We start from the raw sequence: 18,965 nt of genomic DNA, 5'->3' as shown, positions 1-18,965 counted from the left end.
CCTTCCTCACTGTATTTTAGATAGGGGAAGTGATCTTCTTTTGACAGTACTGTTTAGTTAAATTGACCTGCTTTTCAGAATTGAAAACTCTCTTATTTTCAATACCTAGCACACTCCTGGTAAATGAGCTGCTTCAGTTTTCATTCTTTCCATTTGAATCAGTTTCTGGCACTGCCAAAGAAGGTGAACTGAGACAGGTATCTCCCTCTGCTTATTTCAGTCAAAACTCTGTCTTTGTACCAATCAAAAAAAAAAAAAAAAAAAAGGTGGGGAGGCATTTAAATTATCCAAGTCAGCTTTCTGTAATAAATTCACCATTATGTTGAGGAAATATAAACTGGTGTTAAGTTTCTGCAAACAAGATGCCCAAATAAATTGGTGCTCCTTGCCCTGGACTCACTCTCTCCATCCATGCATTGTCCCCATGCTAGCCAAGAAGATGAGCCTGAATCCCTGCTCCTCCCCACCCCATATTCTATCTTTCCCTCTTTGAGATGCCTTGGCTCCTGTTGTCACCTGGTTCTGTGAAGATGAGCTCAAGTTTGGTCTGATCTCTTCAAACTTTAATTTATAGTGCTCTTGTCAGTATCTGGGCCTTGGCTTTCTTCTGCAGATTTTTATTTGATTAACCCCTTTGACTTCTAGCTTCTCTGGTTGCTTTAAGGTGGAATCTCCTGTCCTAATCTCAACTCTTCTGAATTAAATTTCAGCCCCTTTGCCACTAAGGCCATTCCTGAGACCCAGCAAGTTTTTGCAGTTGTCTTATCACATCCATAATCAGCAATACAACTTGGCCCAATCCTTAAACAATAGGATATTATTGTCTCTCACACTGATAGTCCTAGTGTTGACAAAATAGAAATAAGTTTTGATGGTTTCATTTACTAGAAAGAATTTAAATACAAACATCTGAATGGAATAGGTGGCGGCCCCAAAACAGTTTTGAATATATAAACAATTTTGTCACACTTAAAATATCAATATAAGTAGGACTGGATCCTAGGAAAATTACCTGTTGAAAGGGAAACAAAACCCTCAAGTTATATTCTCACCTCACAAAAGGCACCTCAATTAATTTCAGGTAGATTACATGCAAAAATTGTATACATAAATAACTTGAAGACAATATAAGTGAATATTTGATTTTGAGTAAAAAATACTTCAAGATATAAAAGCATGTGATGATGTCCTCAAAGAAAATATCAATACACCTGCATATATAGAATATAAAAGTTCTGTAAACTGAGAAAAAGTAGAAAACGCATTTGCAATAATTGAAAAAGAGTTCAAATACGTGCATACATAGAGGTATGTTTGTGCATGTGTGTATATATAAACAAACACACATATACACATACATATATGTGTGTGTCTTACAAATCAATCAGAAAAAAATAGCAGCACCACTGAGAAAATGACAAAGAACACAAACAGATAATTAACAAAATTTAAAAAAAAGAGACATGATCAATGAACTCTTGAAATATCAATCCAATCTCACTAGAATTCAATTTTAAAAAACCAAATTAAAAAGCACTGCTAAGTAAAACTGAAACCTAGTGAGATTTCAACTCCCTTCAAATTGGCAAAACTTTCTAGAAAGCTATTTAGCAATACTTAAAAAAAAAAAGAAAGCACTTTCATCCAATAATCTCACTCCTAATCTGTACTAAGGAAAGCAGTCAAATATTCATGTGGAAAGATGTCTCTCACAATCTTACGTATAGTGCAAAAAAATGAAATTATCCTAAATGTTCAATATTGGAGGAATGGTCAAGTAACATATCTATACAATGGAATATTATATTGTCCTTTAAACTGTTTTTGAAAGATACTTAAACTTCAAAAATGTTCCTGATACAATGTTAAACTAAGAGAATAGGAAGAATAAATATTTATATTATGATCCAAACATTGTAAAAATTATATAAATATGAATAAACATTCACATATATAAAAGACTAGAAATAAATTTATTAAAATACCAAAGAAAATATCAGGAAAATCAGGAAATATCAGGAAATATGAGGAAAAATGCTAACATTATTAAAATGTGTGTACCTGTACTCTTGAGTTATTATGGAACTTTCTTTTTAAATTTCTGTAAAGCATCAGGGGAGAGAGGTAAAAACGCAGGTGTCTTTCTTCCCTTTGTAGTACCTGGGCTGGAGTAAGTTGTTTCAGAAGCAGAGAACGTGCATCTCCAGGGAACTCAAAAGGGCATCCTGGTTGAGTTGCACATGCCACACAGTGCCAAAAAAGCATCCCCTCCCCAGACACTTTCCAAAGCCCCAGATTAGAAGGAATGATTGTGGTTAGCATGAAACCAAATGAAAATACTACTGATAACTGTTCCTGTCTGGGACATCTGGATCCAGCCAGTTTTCATCTCCTGAACCTGCTCTCTTAACAGTTATCTCATATGGAAAAATACTACTCTGAGTTTTCAGCTCTAGTTTTTCTAATACAGCACTTGTTCCCTGTCTTGTGATTGCTTGTGGGTTTTTGTTTGTTAGTTTTTCTAACAGCCCACTTACTCCCTATATTGTGATTACTTGTGGGTTTTTGTTCGTTTGTTTTTGAGACAGGGTCTTTCTCTGTCACCCAGCCTGGAGTGCAGTGGCAGGATCATAGCTCATTGCAGCCTCAAAATCCTGGGCTTAAGTCCTCCTCCCACCTCAGCCTCCTGAATAGCTAGGACCACAGGTGCACCCTACCATGCCCAGCTAAGTTTTGTAGAGACAGGGTCTCGCTATGTGCCCAGGCTGGTCTGGAACTCCCAGGCTCAAGCAATCCTCCTGCCTCGTCTCCAGAATGCTGGTATTATAGGCGTGAGTCACCGCACCTGGCCCATTGCTTCTTTTAGTGGCAGTCTCATATACTAGCCTGTGAGCTTTAATGGGGTAGAGATCCGCTCAGTATAGTAGAGTCATGCTCAGTAATATTTGTTGAGTGAATGAATGCACTCAAGGAATGAATAAATTTACACTGCTATATTTTGCTTCTGACCATAAGTTATACTTGACCAAGTGGGTTATCTCTCTTTTTTTCTTAGAGTTTACCCACAGTAAACTTAGCTTATCGGCCATTTGGTCCCACTTTTACTGAAAATCAGATTAAAGAGGTTCTAAGGAGGAAAAAATGATGAGAGTGGTCAAGGGCATGGGCTCAGGCATCAAATTGCCTGGGTGTGAAATTGACTGTATTATGTGCTAGCTCTGTGATCTTGGGCAGGTCACTTGCCGTCTTTGTGCTTTAGTTTCTTCATCTGTAAAGCTGTGATGATAACAGTAGTACACACCTCTTAGGGATATTTTGAAGATTAAGTGGGTTGTTAGACATAAAACACTTAGCACGTTGTCTGGCATTGTATAAGTACTCTGTAAGTGGTAGATATTGTTATTATTATTTTCCCCTAAAAGCAGCAGATATCTTCTTCAGTTAATTATACCTATTGAATTGGTTTTTTTAGTTTCTACAAGCTTTCCAATATTTTCTATCCAGACCATGCATAGGTAATGAACTTGATGTCTTAATAAAGCTTGATATTTTGCAGCAATTATTTTAAGCTCTCTCATCTATTGTCTGATTTCATTAGTTAATGATTGTCATGACAAAGTAATAAAAGAGGTCCTTTTAAAATACTTCTGATACTGCAGATGTCAAACATCAATTACTGCCAAACTTTATTCCAAGACTAGTAGTATTTTTCTCACTTCAGGTTTTGTAATTATTTTCATTTTATGACATAAATATTTTTTATTTAGACTTGAAGCTCTTTGAGGGCAATTTATCTTCCCTACAGCTCCCACCTATACTGTTTTATGAATATTCTACTGATAGATAAAAACTTATTAAATGAATAATCAGATCTTTTCCTCTTTTATTGCAAACACAGGGAACACTTAGCCGTGCTATTCTTACTTCTCATCAAAGGTGTTTCCGCCAACTCACTGCTAGATTTCTTCTTGTAGTTTCATCTTGGAATTTTAAGTACTTTTTTTTTTTAACCTTCAAAAGATGGTGCTACCATTGGCAACTAAGATTGGCGTGCACTGAAAGACTGGTTGCTGGTGGCCAATTCACTTGATACAGCTCTTCCAGCAGCAATATTTCCCCTTGGATTTAAATACATAATTGCAAAAAAGGGAGGTCTCAGACCATACTATTTCTTTATGTCTTAGATGAAATAACATATTCAATTTTTAAGGCTTTATTGTTATTTTTGTCAACAATAATAATACCTTCAGTTGTGCATTGGTGAACAGTTTATTGAGAGTTCTATATACACTATTTCATTTAATTTGTACAATAAGATTGCATTTTTTCCTTTTTTTTTTTGAGACAGGATCTTACTCTGTTGCCCAGGCTGGAGTGCAGTGGTGTGATCATATAGCTCACTGCAGCCTCGACCTCCTTGGGCTCAAGATATCTTCCCACCTTGGCCTCCCTGGTAGCTAGAACGACAGGCACATCCACCATACCTGGCTAACTTAAAAAATTTTTTTTGTAGAGGCAGAGTCTCACTATGTGGCCTAGGCTGGTACTGAACTTCTGGGCTCAAGCGATTCACCCTCCTGGGTCTCTCAAAGTGCTGGAATTACAGGCCTGAGCCTCTGTGCTCAGCCAAGATTGTATTTTTACTGCTAGTTTATATTTGGAAACACAAGGATTGTGAGGGGAAAGGTTTAGCTATTATGTGCCACATAGTTTACATATGTTATCTCACTCAACCCTCATAGTAGCCCTTCAAGTAAGCAATAATATTTCTATTTTGCTAATAAAAATTTGAGGTTCAGAGGTGCTAACTAGTATATGATAGAATTGAAATTCAAACTCTGGTTTGTCTGGCAACAAAACCTATGTTCTTTCTGCTACACTAGTGGTTGATTGAACTACCTTATAACCCTAATTTAGTAGAAAGAGTCTACTTTTTATGACTGAAGTTACTGTTTATGAACCTCCAGTGACATTAAAATCTAGACACGCACATGATAATCTCAGGCCAGCCTTTCTTTGCCTCATCCTTCCCACAGAAAGCTCATCCCGTGTGTTCCGGGTTCTCTGTCTCTGGTGATAAATATGGAGTATCCAGACATCGTATTGCATTGTTATGTCTGTCACTGTTTGCATAGACTCAAACCAATGCAATAATTTGGAATGGGGCTGTGCTCAATTAGCATTCCCACGATTCTTTCCCTGCTTCACCCTTTCTAAACCCAATTCCTTGGGGCAGAACATCACAGAAAACCAAGATCAGAAATGTGGTAGTTCAGGGTGGCCTAGGAAGTGAAGAACAATGCCTTTCCTTTCAGATACTCTAACCTGCACTTCAAAGATGTTTGTTCCAAAATTCTAAAAAATGGCCAATTTGACTAGACCTCTTGTGGTGTGAGTGTATTGCAGAGAATCTTGTGAAAAAAGAATAAGCTCACTCTTGACAAGGCAATCTGATCTTTAGATCTTAATAACCCTGGTTGGAAGATAGAAACTCTAGTGTTCATTTTTGGGTCAGGGAGTCATTGCTCAATACGCTAAGAGAATTCATTTTCCTTGAGTGTTTTTCCTTTCAGGTCACGTTTTACTGCTGGAGTTACTCAGCGAATTAATAGGTATAGAAATGCAAAGCTCTTTTCTTATTACATTCTATCGATCTGATTGCAGTGTCATTAATTGAAAGACTAGGAAAATGTGATGGATAGTTCAGCTCAAGATTCTACATTTGTTTTGGCCCAGATCCGTTGGAAGAAAGCTGCATGAAACTGACTGAAAGAAGCCTTTTGGTCTGACATGAATTTTTCTTTCTTTGTCAATCCATGTGAGAGCATTATTCAGTCCTAGTGAGATTTACAATGTGAAATTGTAAACTGTTTCAATTGTTAAAGCAAAATCAAAACTCAGAATGCTTATTTGTAGAGTTAGAAATAATCCATCCTGTAACTCTCTTTTACAGATTACTTACATACAATATTTTTAAAAAACGTAATTCTGACACAAACAAATTCTGACTCAAAAATATGGAAGGTGGGCTGTTTGTTCTTCATTTTAAGTGATTGTGTTTTGCAATATAGTGGTTGTGAAAAATTAATTTCATTCATTTCCATTCAGTCCATTTCTATTCCAGAAGTGCATGAAACTAGAAATTGGTGTGTGGTTAAAGATTGTTTTTATGGTTATTTTTCTTTTCTGATGGTTTGACCTACTAGTCCTTGGATTTCTCTCATAAGTTTAAATTAACTTGAGAATTTTGTCTATGTATAGATAAGTCCACATACATATTTGATTACTACTTTAATATGAAAAATTTAAAGGAGTCTTTAAAAATTTTTTAATCCTCCACACGAAGGGAAAATTCCCCAGATCAGATAAGAATATACCAGATTACAGTTAATTTGTTTGCAAAGGCTGAATTGTTCCTTTCTAGTTAATCACATTTTAAAGAGCTGAGCTATTTTTGTGTGTGTTTATTATTTTAAATGTTTGAAGCTTGAAGTGAATGCGAAGAATATCCAATTTTAAAGCACATTTAAATCTGACATAAATCATTATCCGTCTCTTGCTTTTAACAGACATGTTAAAAAGTTTAGTACATGTTATTAATAATAGATGTCCTGTCAAATATTTTTATCCTTCGTCTACAGTGTTTGAATTGTCTTTGTCAAGGTGTGATTTCTTTTTCTGGTTATGCTTTTGGATGATAGAATAAGTCATTTGTGGAAAAATAGGAAGTGAGCGAATTGCCACGCGGCATGACCTCATACTGGAACACATCTTGAAAATGTATTTAATGCTTTCTGAGCACAGAGACAATGGATTGTGGTTTGGGGTCCTCCTTCCTGACCTTTGGCTTGGTGAGAAATGTGGATTGCTTCCTCTGCTCATCAGCTACTCTCAGAGTGAAAAAGAGGCTGCACCCACGTTAGGAAGCAAATGCTGTTGATGAGTGCACAGGCTGCCTTCCCCATGATATTATGTCTAAAAATACATCCACAGAGAGGCAGGCATATGCTCGCGTCTTGGTGTGAAGGAGCTCTCGCCTGTGTTTCTTGCTATACCCATCTAAATTCTGGAGTGAGGAATTAAATTATTCCAGAAACCCTGCCAGTTTTTGATTTGCCATTGTCTCTGGTTCTTCGTTGCCTTTGAATGGGACCCTTGATACAAGGCTTTCATAGACCAGCCGGTGCTGATGGGGTCCGGGACTTGACGATGGCGCCTGCTCGTTCCTGTTGTGTTCTATCTGAGGCATGATTTTCTTTCGTTTTTGGGAGGTAGAGAGCACGGGGCAGAGGTTGCACCTGACACATTAGAACTCCGTTGTCACTGCTGTGGCTGTTATTCCCCTCGGCAAGAGCCAAGGAGCAAACAGGACGGTGGGTCACCTCGCCAGCTATTTAGCACCATTTCCTTTCTCTTCCTCAACCTTGTTAGAATTTTCTCTTTCTTAAGTGACAGGGTTTGATGGGGGTTACTGTGCCCCCCTGTCTACCCCTGCTTTATCTTGATAAGGACTTGCTTTATCCTGATTTCTAACACCTCTCCTCATTATAAAAGCTTGCTAGACTCTCATTCCCGGTTCCTGCAACTCAGTTTTTCTGCTCTATTGTTTGGGTTTTCTCTTTGAATGTTAGTCCCGAATTTCTCAGCTTCTGTGGTTACCTCACAAGTTAACAGGGGTAAAATTATTGTCTGAGCTATTTTCTTTAGGAAGAAAAAAATTTTGCTCTTTGGGGTGATAGTCCCAAGAAAAGGAATGAGTAGCAGAGGGAAATGAGGGGATATTGTTTTGCAGCTTCTGCTACGGCTTGGCTGTGAATACCTGTGCTCAGGTGAGACTTTCTGTTGTGTTTATGGAGTTAGAGACAAATGTTAACCTTCATGATATTTTCCATATCTCGCTTGGAAATTATTTCAATTCTAACAAAAAGTGCGGAGGAAAGAAGCATTGCTTTTCATGCACCAGAAAAGAGGGACAAAATCACAGATAACATCAGATGCAAAGGACATCATTCCATTTGAAATGATTTATATTTAAAAGGGAGTGAGATCAGCTGTTACTTATACCACCCTCTTTCTTCTTGTGTATTCAAGTTAGCAATATTTTAATGTCCTTGAAAACGAAAGGCAGAGCATTGGTTTTCGGAAGGGTCGATTTTTTTGAGGTTTCTGTAAAATGAGATAAAAGAAGTCTTTATTTTGTTTCAGGTGGTTAGCCCAGAATATATTCAATACAAGTTAACACAGACATATGCAGTGTAAGACGGTGCTCACAACACTTGCAACTAAACACACACAGCCCCCCCACACAAACCCACTCAACATTAACCAAAATCCAGGCTTGAGTTTAAACCAAAATGATTTCATTTATGGAGGAAAATTAATCTTCTTATATGCTTTTCTACAGCTAAATATTTAGCTTTCCTTTTTTAATCACTATTTTCTTAGCTTCTTTCATAAAAACCACTGAAATGAACAAAGAACTCTACCGTATAGTTAATTTCAGTTCTAGTGGGAGTTGATTAAAATGGAACGTAGATCACATATACGATAAACTCTTTTTTGTCAGCAGGCAATTCCTTTTAGTTCAGCTTAATGCATTTTATTCCCAATAATGCCAAAGAAACATATATGTCTTAGATGCTCCATATCTAATTATGTGGCTGGATACATTAATAACCCATAATGTTACATAGATTTGAGGACTAAACACAGATAAAAGCCAGAGAAGGTGCCATTATTTGTAGCCAGCAAGTTGCATGATCCAGATGCTGGAGTATCTGCCTGTCTTTCCACCTTTGTTCCTTCAGAGGCGTTGAAGTTCTCAGCTATTGCTGACTAATTGATAGTTGTAGTAACTGCTATAGGCTTCTTAGATTAGAAATGCATGCAGACGTGTGTCTTGATTCAAACATTAAGGAATGCACACTCTCACTTACTTACACAGGCAGAAAGTCTTCATAGTAACAGAGGCATGATGGAGATAGCAGGACATAAAACAGAAGAGAAAGAGAGAGAGAGAGAGATGACTGGCAGCAAGTAGACCTCTGCAAATAGTTCTAAAATTCGTTTGCAAATTCAGAAGCCTTCAGAACCATCCAACAATTCAAACACTCTTTTTATTTCTTCTCTGCGGGAAGACTCCATCCAGACTTTTTATTTTTGGCAAAAAAAAAAAAAAAAACCCAAAAAACAAAAAAATTCCCCAAAATGGAAAAGGTGAGAACCCTGCCATCTTAGCTCAGAATTCATCTGATTTCCTTTCTTCCCCGCTGCCTTGTATTCCTCATTCCATTGTCCATGCATCGGATGGCAGACGTCCTTGCTCTTGAATGCAAGTGTCACAGCAGGAGCAGAAAGGGGGTTGAGGGAAGGCATTGTCAAAGCCACGGTTGTCTATTGTTTCTTCGCTTTCACTCCTCTTTTTTTTTTTTTTTTTTTTTGAGGCTTTCCCTTCCTAGTGGCCTCTGTCCAGGAGGAGGGAGAAAATTGCAAGTTAGTAGAACGGTGGAGGCTTTTTTATTGCACACTGGTTTGATAAAGAGCTCAGCAATAGAGTCTACAAAATTAGGAAATACAGCAAAAGTGGAGGATTCTGATGGGAGATCGAGGGGAGGCTTTGGAGTCTTTGCTCCAGCCTACATACCAAAGGCAGTTTCTTCGGAATAACTTCGGTGGTGATATTTGCTTTGCTGTTGCATTTTCATTTTTTAAAATCATGAGAAAAGTCTTATTCATCTGTCAAGCTTTCCATTTGTTTATTTTTGTTCAGTGCAACAACTAGATGGAAGTTGTAAGGAAGGCCAGGTCTGCTGTTTGTAATTTGCTCAAATGTTGAAATCATTTCAACCTAAATTGGTGATTGTCTTTTTCAGATCATTTATGCTTGCATGTGAAATTTCTGTGGTAACTTTCTGCTCTGTAGGAAAAAAAAAAAGGGTTTGACTATCGTTTGTGTGGCTATTAAGTCTTGGTACTATGTTATTTTGTACCTTAAACATAGCTGTTCTTTTGAATGACATTTATGCATGAGTGATTGTCTTCTATGAACAGGCCAACTCCTGACAACTCCCAAAGTTTTCAAAGGTTACAGAGTTACACCGTCAAAACAGATTTTTAGGAAAGTATTTCAAATAGGCATTTGACATAACATGAAAATCTGGAGATCTCTTCCAGCCACTTTAACTTTATGCAATTTATATTTCTTCAAATCAATACAAGTGATTAAAACTGATTCTACCTAAAAAGAAACAGAGGAGCAGATTAAATTTGAACTCCATCTTTAAACGATTTTGCTAAAAAACAAATTTACACATTTTATAAACTTAGTTTTAGCCTAGAAATATCACATACCTATAAATGGTCCTCCATAGTTTTCTTCCTTCTAAATATTGTACTATCCGTAAGTATCTAGAAAAAATTATTCCAAATTGATCATTTTTTCCCTTAAGCCATACAACATTTGGCTTGAGTCCAGAACTCTTCACTATTTTCAGAATTTGCTAAGCATTCAGCATTTCAATTCTAAAATATATTTTTAAGTCAAGGGGGATATGTCTACATGCAGAGGAGGAAATATTTTCTTTCAAGGAGCCATTCCATTTTATAACACATGCTGGTGGGTTGATGTCCGATGAGAACTCATGATTTATTTCTTTTTCAAATAATAATTGTAGTCTGTCTGTGAAGGCGTGGATAGAATTACCTTTGGGTTCCAGAAGAAAACACCCTAAATTAGAAGCCTCAGATCTTCCTGTAGATGAACATCTAGTGTGGCATGCTGCAAATACATCTCTCCCTTTTCATTCTCATTGCCTTGATTTAGGGGACTTGGGCAGAGCTACCCTGCCTTTCTTTTGTGAAAAGACATTCTGAAATGTCTTTAGAAAGCAAACTTCTCGAAGAAATGCGGAGCGGGCCATGGTTTGAATGCAAGTCTGAATTTAATTGCGGCCACCCTGGTAGTACACTGTTTAATTTCCAGCATGTGTCTGGATGATCCTTACAGCAACTCCAGGCCAGGAACTGTGAGCAAAGAAAATTTATCTGTGATAAAGTTACATATTTTGTTGCCAAAGAACAGTCACTTGGGGCTGATTCAAAAGTCAAATTTAAACAAATGATTCCAAAGCTTTTGTGAAAGGAGAAGTTGGCATTGCTAAATTCTTCGGTGCATTTTGGTTGGAGAAAAATGGATCGTCCCATCTTCTGATCAGTTATGCTTTAATAAGGTGTGAAATGAAGGGGGAAGGAAGGAAATGGCTGAAATATTATAAGGCTGGGTAATATTTCCACCTAAAATGCTAGAAGAGACAAAGAGGTTAATGAAAAGCTGAGTCTCTATGGTTGAAGCAGTCGAAACAAGTTCTTTTTGCACTCACAAATAGTGTAGTTCTCCAAGGAGCTGGAAGGAATGCTGAAACCCTTGGGAGAACAGATTTGGAGGGAACCCCATCTCTTAGCCTGTGTCTTCTGCAGATATTTAACTTCTGGAACAACTTGAAAGGAACAACTCATCTTGTGGCCAAGGTCCATCCCAAGACATTTTGAAAGCATAGGTTCAAGTTCAACCATTAATCCAGACATTTCAACAAGTGTCTGTAATTGCTCCAATAAATAGAAAACTTGTAAATCAGACTGAAGACCTAACCCTGACATTTCTTGAAAATGGCCACCCCCAGTATTTAACATACTGAACATAATATGGTCAAAATATTGTTTGTAACTTATATCTTCTGAGCCCTAAAAATACAAATATCTTTTAAAAAGAAAGAGAAATATAGCACACATTCTGGAATTTTGGAAGAACATGAAGCAGAAGATCACATGTATAGGTAGACAGAAGATGAAATAGGATGTAACTGTTCTCCTTCTCTTTACCCATAATGCCCTCAGGCTGATTTAAAATAATCACTAAGATGGCAGCACACGACCAAAAATACTAAATTTATTTTCAATGGCCCCATTAATTGAAAAAGTTTTCTTTTTCAAAAGCATGTCACTGAGACTTTACAGTTAAGTAGCAGACACAGCTTTCAGAGCTCCCACTTTTTAAACTTTGTTGGATTTCTTTTTTCCACTCCGAATTGGGAGGACAAAGTTGAGCTTCCCCTTTCTGACTGCCTTCCACTTCCTAACTGTATGAGGCCTTCAGAGATAACATGCTCATTTAATTTACTTTGAGGCAGGTTTCCTGGTAGTACTTATACAGCATGTGAAAAGTATCAGCAAAACAAAGACTTTCTACAGTGCTAATCAACCAACTCAACAAACAATGCTAGTAATATTTGGGCAAACAAACAGAAACCTTCTCATGGTTTGTTAAGTTAGCAAAGGGGGAGCATTTGGATATAATATTTTATATTCAAGGAGTTGGGGTTAAAAATAAGCAAATATGCAAAATGAAGACCCTGTTATAGAGAATGCTCTGACAAAGTTCTCTTTTCCTCCCTGATATTTTTTTAGTGTGTGGCAAGGATAGGTATTATTTCATTCATATAGACTGAAATTTGGAATCTCCTTGAAAAATAACTCTATTATTTTTACAAGTGGTGTGTTAAGTAGATTATAAAACTCCCAAGCATATTCTAAGAGAAGTTATGTTGTAATCCAAGGCTGATATTTATTTTATTGATATATATTTTTAAATATTCATTCATATTTATATATATTCATTCTTATTAAGTGAATATATATTCATTTAATGTGAAAGTCTATGTAAAAGAAACAGTGATGACTTGGAGAAACTGCCCCCTCTACTCTTCTGTGAGTGTAAATCTGGAAGAATGAGAAGAATATATGCAAAATACCCACTCCACAAGTGCTAAAAAGAAAGTCTGTGGGCAGGTATTAACAGGGATATCTCAGATTAGCAATTCTTTAAAAGATTAGCAGTGCCTCTCTACCCTTCTTCAATCCCTTTTATTATCCCCCATTCCTTTGGGTCCTCTCGTTCTACCCTTGCCCCAACCACTGGCAAGGTAGAGCTAAAATAAATGCTGGCAAGGAATACCAATGCCCTTACCCAATAAGATCAGGGTATCTAACTATAAATCAAGAACTGGCAAAGTAAATGTGATGTATTCATATTATTCAGTTTTTTGAAGAAAATAGGTTATTTTTATTGTGCAAAGCCTTTTTTTCCAAGAAATTAAACTTATTTGACTGTCAATATGTATTTCATCATCGTACTCTTAGAAAGGGTGATTTTTTTTTTTTTTTTCCCTGCCATGTGTAAGGGGAAACTAAAGATCAAGGACAGTTTGGGGCCGGGTGCAGTGGCTCATGCCTGTAATCCCAGCACTTTGGGAGGCCGAGGCAGGTGGATCACCTGAGATCAGGAGTTTGAGACCAGCTTGGTTAACATGGTGAAACCCCATCTCTACTGAAAATACAAAAATCAGCCAGGTGTGGTGGCACTTGCCTGTAATCCCACCTACTTGCTTGGGAGGCTGAGGCGGGAGAATTGCTTGAACCTGGGAGGTGGAGGTTACAGTGAGCCGAGATAGCACCACTGTACTCTGCCTGGGCGACAGAGCAAGACTCCATAACAACAACAACAACAACAACAACAACAACAAAGACCGTTTTGGCTTACCTAAGATTAAGAAACATGTGGTGCTGGAGCATGTACTGAGGCTAAGACCTGTGCTCCCTGGTCCAGATCCCTGTGCTAGCGTGCATTACTTTTCAAGGTTGTATTTGAGATTTTATAGGAATTCAGTTGCTGCTCTCGGCTGGTTAGTAGGACCTGAGACCTGGACTGCCCTTTAAGAAACTCACAACCAAATGAGAAAGTTATTTCAATATGATGCCCTTTGCTGGTTTCAGGCACCTATTTCTTGGTAGATAAAGTCAACCTTTTTGCACATTTGAGACATTTTAAATACTTGTGAATTTTTATTTCTGTTATGTAAAACTTTGACAAAAGTCGAACATAGGGATATTAGAATGAATAATATGAGAAGTGTCAAAACTCCTTAAAATGTTTTGTTTTATTTTTTCCCCACTATTTACTAACCTGAGAAATGATTTGTAATGGCAACTCAGGCCTACAGGGTGTTGACCTTTACTGGGGCCTGTCCTTCGCTGACTAGGACTAGTAATTTTGGATATTCCACTTCCTCCCATTTTATATCAGTGAATTTTGGTTGTACAGGTAGTCACTTGGGACCATTCAAGTCCACACCAACTTTTTTTTTTTTTCTCATCTAGTATCAGATTTTATAAGACTAATCTGGACGAATGCCTCAATTCTTGACTTTATTCCATTCCTCTCAATGGAGCCTTAAAATACTGCATTGCAGCTAATCACATCAATGACCTCACTGCAGAGAGAAAATCATCAATCCTAGATCACAGAATTTTGGAGTAATCAGGACTCTGGGGACTTTTAAATAAAATCATAAGATGTGAGTTAAAGTTCACTGATATCCCATGAGTTTTACTTTAAGTAAGAAGTGCAGTGTCATTATTTTTTGCCTCCAAGTAATTTCATACTAGACCTATCTGGAAAAACCCTTACAATTTTTTGACATATCTGCGATTGTGATATATTATGATGGCAACCGTGCTTCCATTCCTCCTCCCAGTTGATATGCTGTGATCAATGTCGAGCTTGTTCTTTTTATTTACATCAAGTTGATGTGATTTTCCAACTTCCAGAAAAACTATCTTCTCATTGGTTGCTCAGCACTAGCTTAATGTTTGGATATGGTGTCAGCTAAGTTATGCCCAGGCATTCAACAATGGTTGATTAATTTATAAACTTGTAAAAGGAGATTTATGTTATTTTATTTAAACAATGGAGAAAAAGGGAGCTTCTTTTCATTTTTATGCTTTTAAAAAACCTAATAGTAAAACATGCTTTATTTTATGCTTAAAATAAAACATATCACATAGTAGCATTGTAACTTTTATTTTAATAATGATGATGTGAGATTGGGTTTATTTCCACAAATATCCTGATATTTTCATTCACCTAAAAAATTCCAAAACATTTCAGTTTTAGATAAAGCAATGTTATAAGTTTTCATCACCCAGCAGGTCTATGTATTATGAATACATTGAGCAATGACCCAACCCTCAGCTTTGTTGGAATGGCACTTGTCTCATGAGTAGGCATTATTTTGAATTTTCCCGAAAATTTTATTTGCATGTCCCTTTTAATTTTTTTTCTTTTTTCTTTTTCCTGTTTTTTGAGATGGAGTCTCTCTCTGTCACCCAGGCTGGAGTGCAATGGTGTGATCTCAGCTCACTGCAACCTCTGCCTCCCGAATCTCCTGCCTCAGCTGGATTACAGGTGCGCGCCACCACGACCGGCTAATTTTTGTATTTTTAGTAGAGATGGGATTTCACCATGTTGGTCAGGCTGGTCTTGAACTCCTGACCTTGTGATCTGCCCTCTTTGGCCTCCCAAAGTACAGGGATTACAGACATGAGCCACCGCGCCCGGCCTTTAATTTTTAAAAATTCCTAGACAAGGTTAATATGCCAATCTGGTGTATATATTGGGACCACAGGAGAGGAGGAAAGTGGCCAGAATGGAACCAGGTCAATATGCTGAGATTGAATCAGTGACAGATCCAACCTACTAGAGACTTGACTAATCATTGCTGAACTATCAGGATATAGATACATGACAACAAACAGAATTGGGGTATGGCCGTTAAAAGACTGAATCCTTCCTTTCCTGGGAACACATCTAAGTGGGACATTCCATCCTCTCATATGCAGGCCTAAACTTATTCAGGAATATTTAATAATAATTTGTCAATTGACAAATATTGTTTGAAAGTTTGCTCTCAATTCAGGGTTGGAGGAAGATGCTGTCAAAAATTTGAGAGTGGTAAAAAATGCCATAAGTGCACTTGGAGTGTTTATCATCTGCAAGGAAATTACAGTAAATTCAGCATAGTTGTTCCAGAACACTGAAGAGTACAACTGTCTGCCAGGCACTGTGTAATGTGCCATGGTAGGAGAGAGAGAAAAATACTGTTGCTGCCCAGAAGGAACTTGCAGTCTAGTGAAAGTACAGGCTCATAAGCAGGTAATTTCAATAGAATGTGCTACATGTAGGGTGCTGATGTGACAGATGCAGCTCACTACCACTTGTTAGGGCTTGGAAAGGCTTCCTGAGATGATGATGTCTAATCTGAATCTTGCCTAAAGAATTATTTATTTAGTATCCATTAAAACTGTGGAATCTTTGCTTCATGCTGGGAAATTAAAGGAGAAGGCAGTGTCTATCTTTGAGGGGGATTGTTGTCTAATTTAAGAAACAGGTTATAAAACACACCATGTACACACAAAGTGGAATAGGGTATAGACTATAACAGAGGTCTAAAATTTGTTTTAGGAAACCAAAGGAGGAATCCAGATCCTTTTGGAGGGAGTTAAGAAAGGTGGCCTACCCAAGCTGCTATTAAGTGTATTAGCACTGTGAATAGAGAGATATGAAGATATGTAGAGGAAGGAGTGACTAATTTTGCCTGGAAGAGGGTAGAAATTTCTTAAGACTTCATGGAGGAGGTGGCATTTGATCTGAGCACTGAAAATTAAGTGGAATGCTCCCAGGTAGGAAGAGTGAAATAAGAACAGAAGAAAATCCCAAGAAGATGAGATAGCATGAACCAATGCTTGGGGTTGTGAACAGCTCTGGTGTATTTAGAGAAAGAAGGTCTACTTTGGTTTGGCTGGAACTTGCGGGGCACTGATAATGGTTTGGATGTGTGTCCCCTCCAAACCTCACATTAAAATGTGATCCCCAATTTTGGAGGTTGGGCCTGGTGGGGGATATTGGATCATGGAGGCAGATCCCTCATGAATGGCTTATCACCATCCCTTTGGTGATGAGTGTGTTCTTGTTCAGTTATTTCACATGTGATCTGGCTGCTTAAAAGAGTCTGAGACCTCCCCCTTCTTGCTCCTGCCATATGAAGCACCCGTTCTTTCTTTACTCTCCACCATGATTGGAAGCTTCCTGAGGCCCTCACTAGAAGCAGATGCTAGCACCGTGTTTGTATAGCCTGCAGAATGCTGAGCCAATTAAACCTCTTTTCTTTATAAATTACCCAGACTCAGATATTTCTTAATGACAACACGAATGGACTAACATAGAAAATTGGTACTGGGAGTGGGGTATTACTATTGCTATAAAGATACCTGCAGATGTGGAAGTGACTTTGGATCTGGGTAATGAGCAGAGAGAGGTTGGAAGAGTTTGGAGAGCTCAGAAGAAAACAGGAAGATGAGGGAAAGTTTGAAACATATTAGACACTAGTTAAATGATTGTGACCAAAGTGCTAATAGAAATATAAATAGTGAAGGCTAGGCTTACAAGGTCTCAGATGGAAATGGGGAAGTTATTGGGAATTAGAGTAAAGGTCACCTGTGCTATGCTCTAGCAAAGAACTTGGCTGCATTGTGTTTATGCCCGAGAGATCTGAGGAAGCTTGAACTTAAGAGTGATGACCTAGAATATCTGGTGAGCAGCAAAGCATTCAAGATGTGACCTGGCTGCTTTTAACAGCCTATGATCATATACAGAAGCACATAAACGACTTAAATTTGGAACTTTAAATACAAAAATTTGGAAAATTTGCAGCTTAGCTATGTGATAAAGAAGGAAAAAAGCATTTTCAGGAGAGAAATACAAATGGTCTGTGGAACAATCACTTGCAAGAGAGACTTGCATGACTAAAATGGAGCCAGGTGCTAATATCCAAGACAATGGGGAAAAGGCCTTGAAGGCGTTTCAGAGATCTTCAAGGCAGCCCCTTCCATCACAGGCCCAGAGGCCTATAAGGAAAGAATGGTTTCATGGGCCAGGCCCAGGGTGCTACTGCTCTACGCCACCCTGGGAATTTGCTCCTTGCATCCTAATCACTCTGGCTCCAGCCTCAGCTCAGAGGGCCACAGGTATAGTTCAGGTCAAAGCTCCAGCACGTGCAAGCCTCTGTAAGCCTTGGCAGCTCCAGCAGGTGCCAAACCTCTGCAAGCCTTGGCAGCTTCCACGTGGTGTTAGGCCTGCAGGTGCACAGAATGCAACAGTGAAGGAGACTAGGCAGCTTCCATCTAGATTTCAAAGGATGTATGAGAAAGCCTGGGTGCCCAGGCAGAAACCTGCTACAGAGGCAGAGCCCCCATAGAGAACATCTACTAGGAAAGTGCAGAGGAAAAATGTGGGGTTAGAGCCTCTACATAGAATTTCCATTGGGGCACAGCCTAGTGGAGCTGTGGGAACAAGGCTGTTGCCCTCCAGACCCAATAATGGCAGCTTACATTCTGAGCCTGGAAAAGTTGCAGGCACTCAACTCCATCTCATGAGAGCAGCCATGAGGGCTGCAACCTGCAAAGCCACAGAAGCAGAGCTGCCTAAGGCTTTGGGAGCCCAGCCCTTGCACCAGTGTGCCCTGGATGCAGGACATGGAGTCAAAGTAGATTATTTTAGAGCTTTAAGATTCGATGACTGCCCTGCTGGGTTTCAAATTTGCATAGGGCCGTTTGCCCCTTTCTTTTGGCCAACTTCTCCCTCTTGCAATGAGAATGTCCACAAAATGCCTCTACCATTATTGTATCTGGGAAATAAATAATTTGTTTTTGATCACAAAGGCTCATAGGTCAAAGGATCTCATCTTCAGATGAGATTTTGGACTTGGGACACTTGAGTTGGCATTAGAACACGTCAAGACTTTGAAAAACTATTGAAAAGGGATGACTGAATTTTGCAATATGAGAAGGACATGAGATTTCAGGGGCCAGGGGAAAATGATATGGTTTGGATGTTTGTCCTTTCCAAATCTCATGTTGAAAGGTCATCCCCAATGTTGGAGATGGGGCTTAGTGGAGGATATTGGGTCATGGGGACAGATTCTTTTTTTTTTTTTTTTTTTTTTTTTTTGAGACGGAGTCTCGCTCTGTCGCCCAGGCTGGAGTGCAGTGGCGCGATCTCGGCTCACTGCAAGCTC

The 18,965-nt window shown here is 38.4% G+C and overlaps 1 long non-coding RNA gene across 4 annotated transcripts in view; it reads left to right on the top strand.

Annotated features, from left to right (window-relative positions):
• The window catches only part of MIR100HG (mir-100-let-7a-2-mir-125b-1 cluster host gene), a 394,543-nt gene that overhangs the window by 106,249 nt on the left and 269,329 nt on the right, over positions 1-18,965 (top strand). For 2 of the 4 annotated variants that reach the window (NR_137193.1, NR_137180.1), the window contains exon 1: positions 7,136-7,373. The exons of the other annotated variants lie outside the window; for them this stretch is intronic. This is a non-coding gene — a long non-coding RNA (mir-100-let-7a-2-mir-125b-1 cluster host gene). Of the gene's footprint in view, positions 1-7,135; positions 7,374-18,965 lie in introns of those variants that run through there. 4 annotated transcript variants of the gene reach the window in all.

This window comes from Homo sapiens, chromosome 11 (assembly GCF_000001405.40).
Source record: "Homo sapiens chromosome 11, GRCh38.p14 Primary Assembly".
NCBI classification, from domain to species: Eukaryota; Metazoa; Chordata; class Mammalia; order Primates; family Hominidae; genus Homo; species Homo sapiens.
This window is presented reverse-complemented; position numbering and strand designations above follow the sequence as displayed.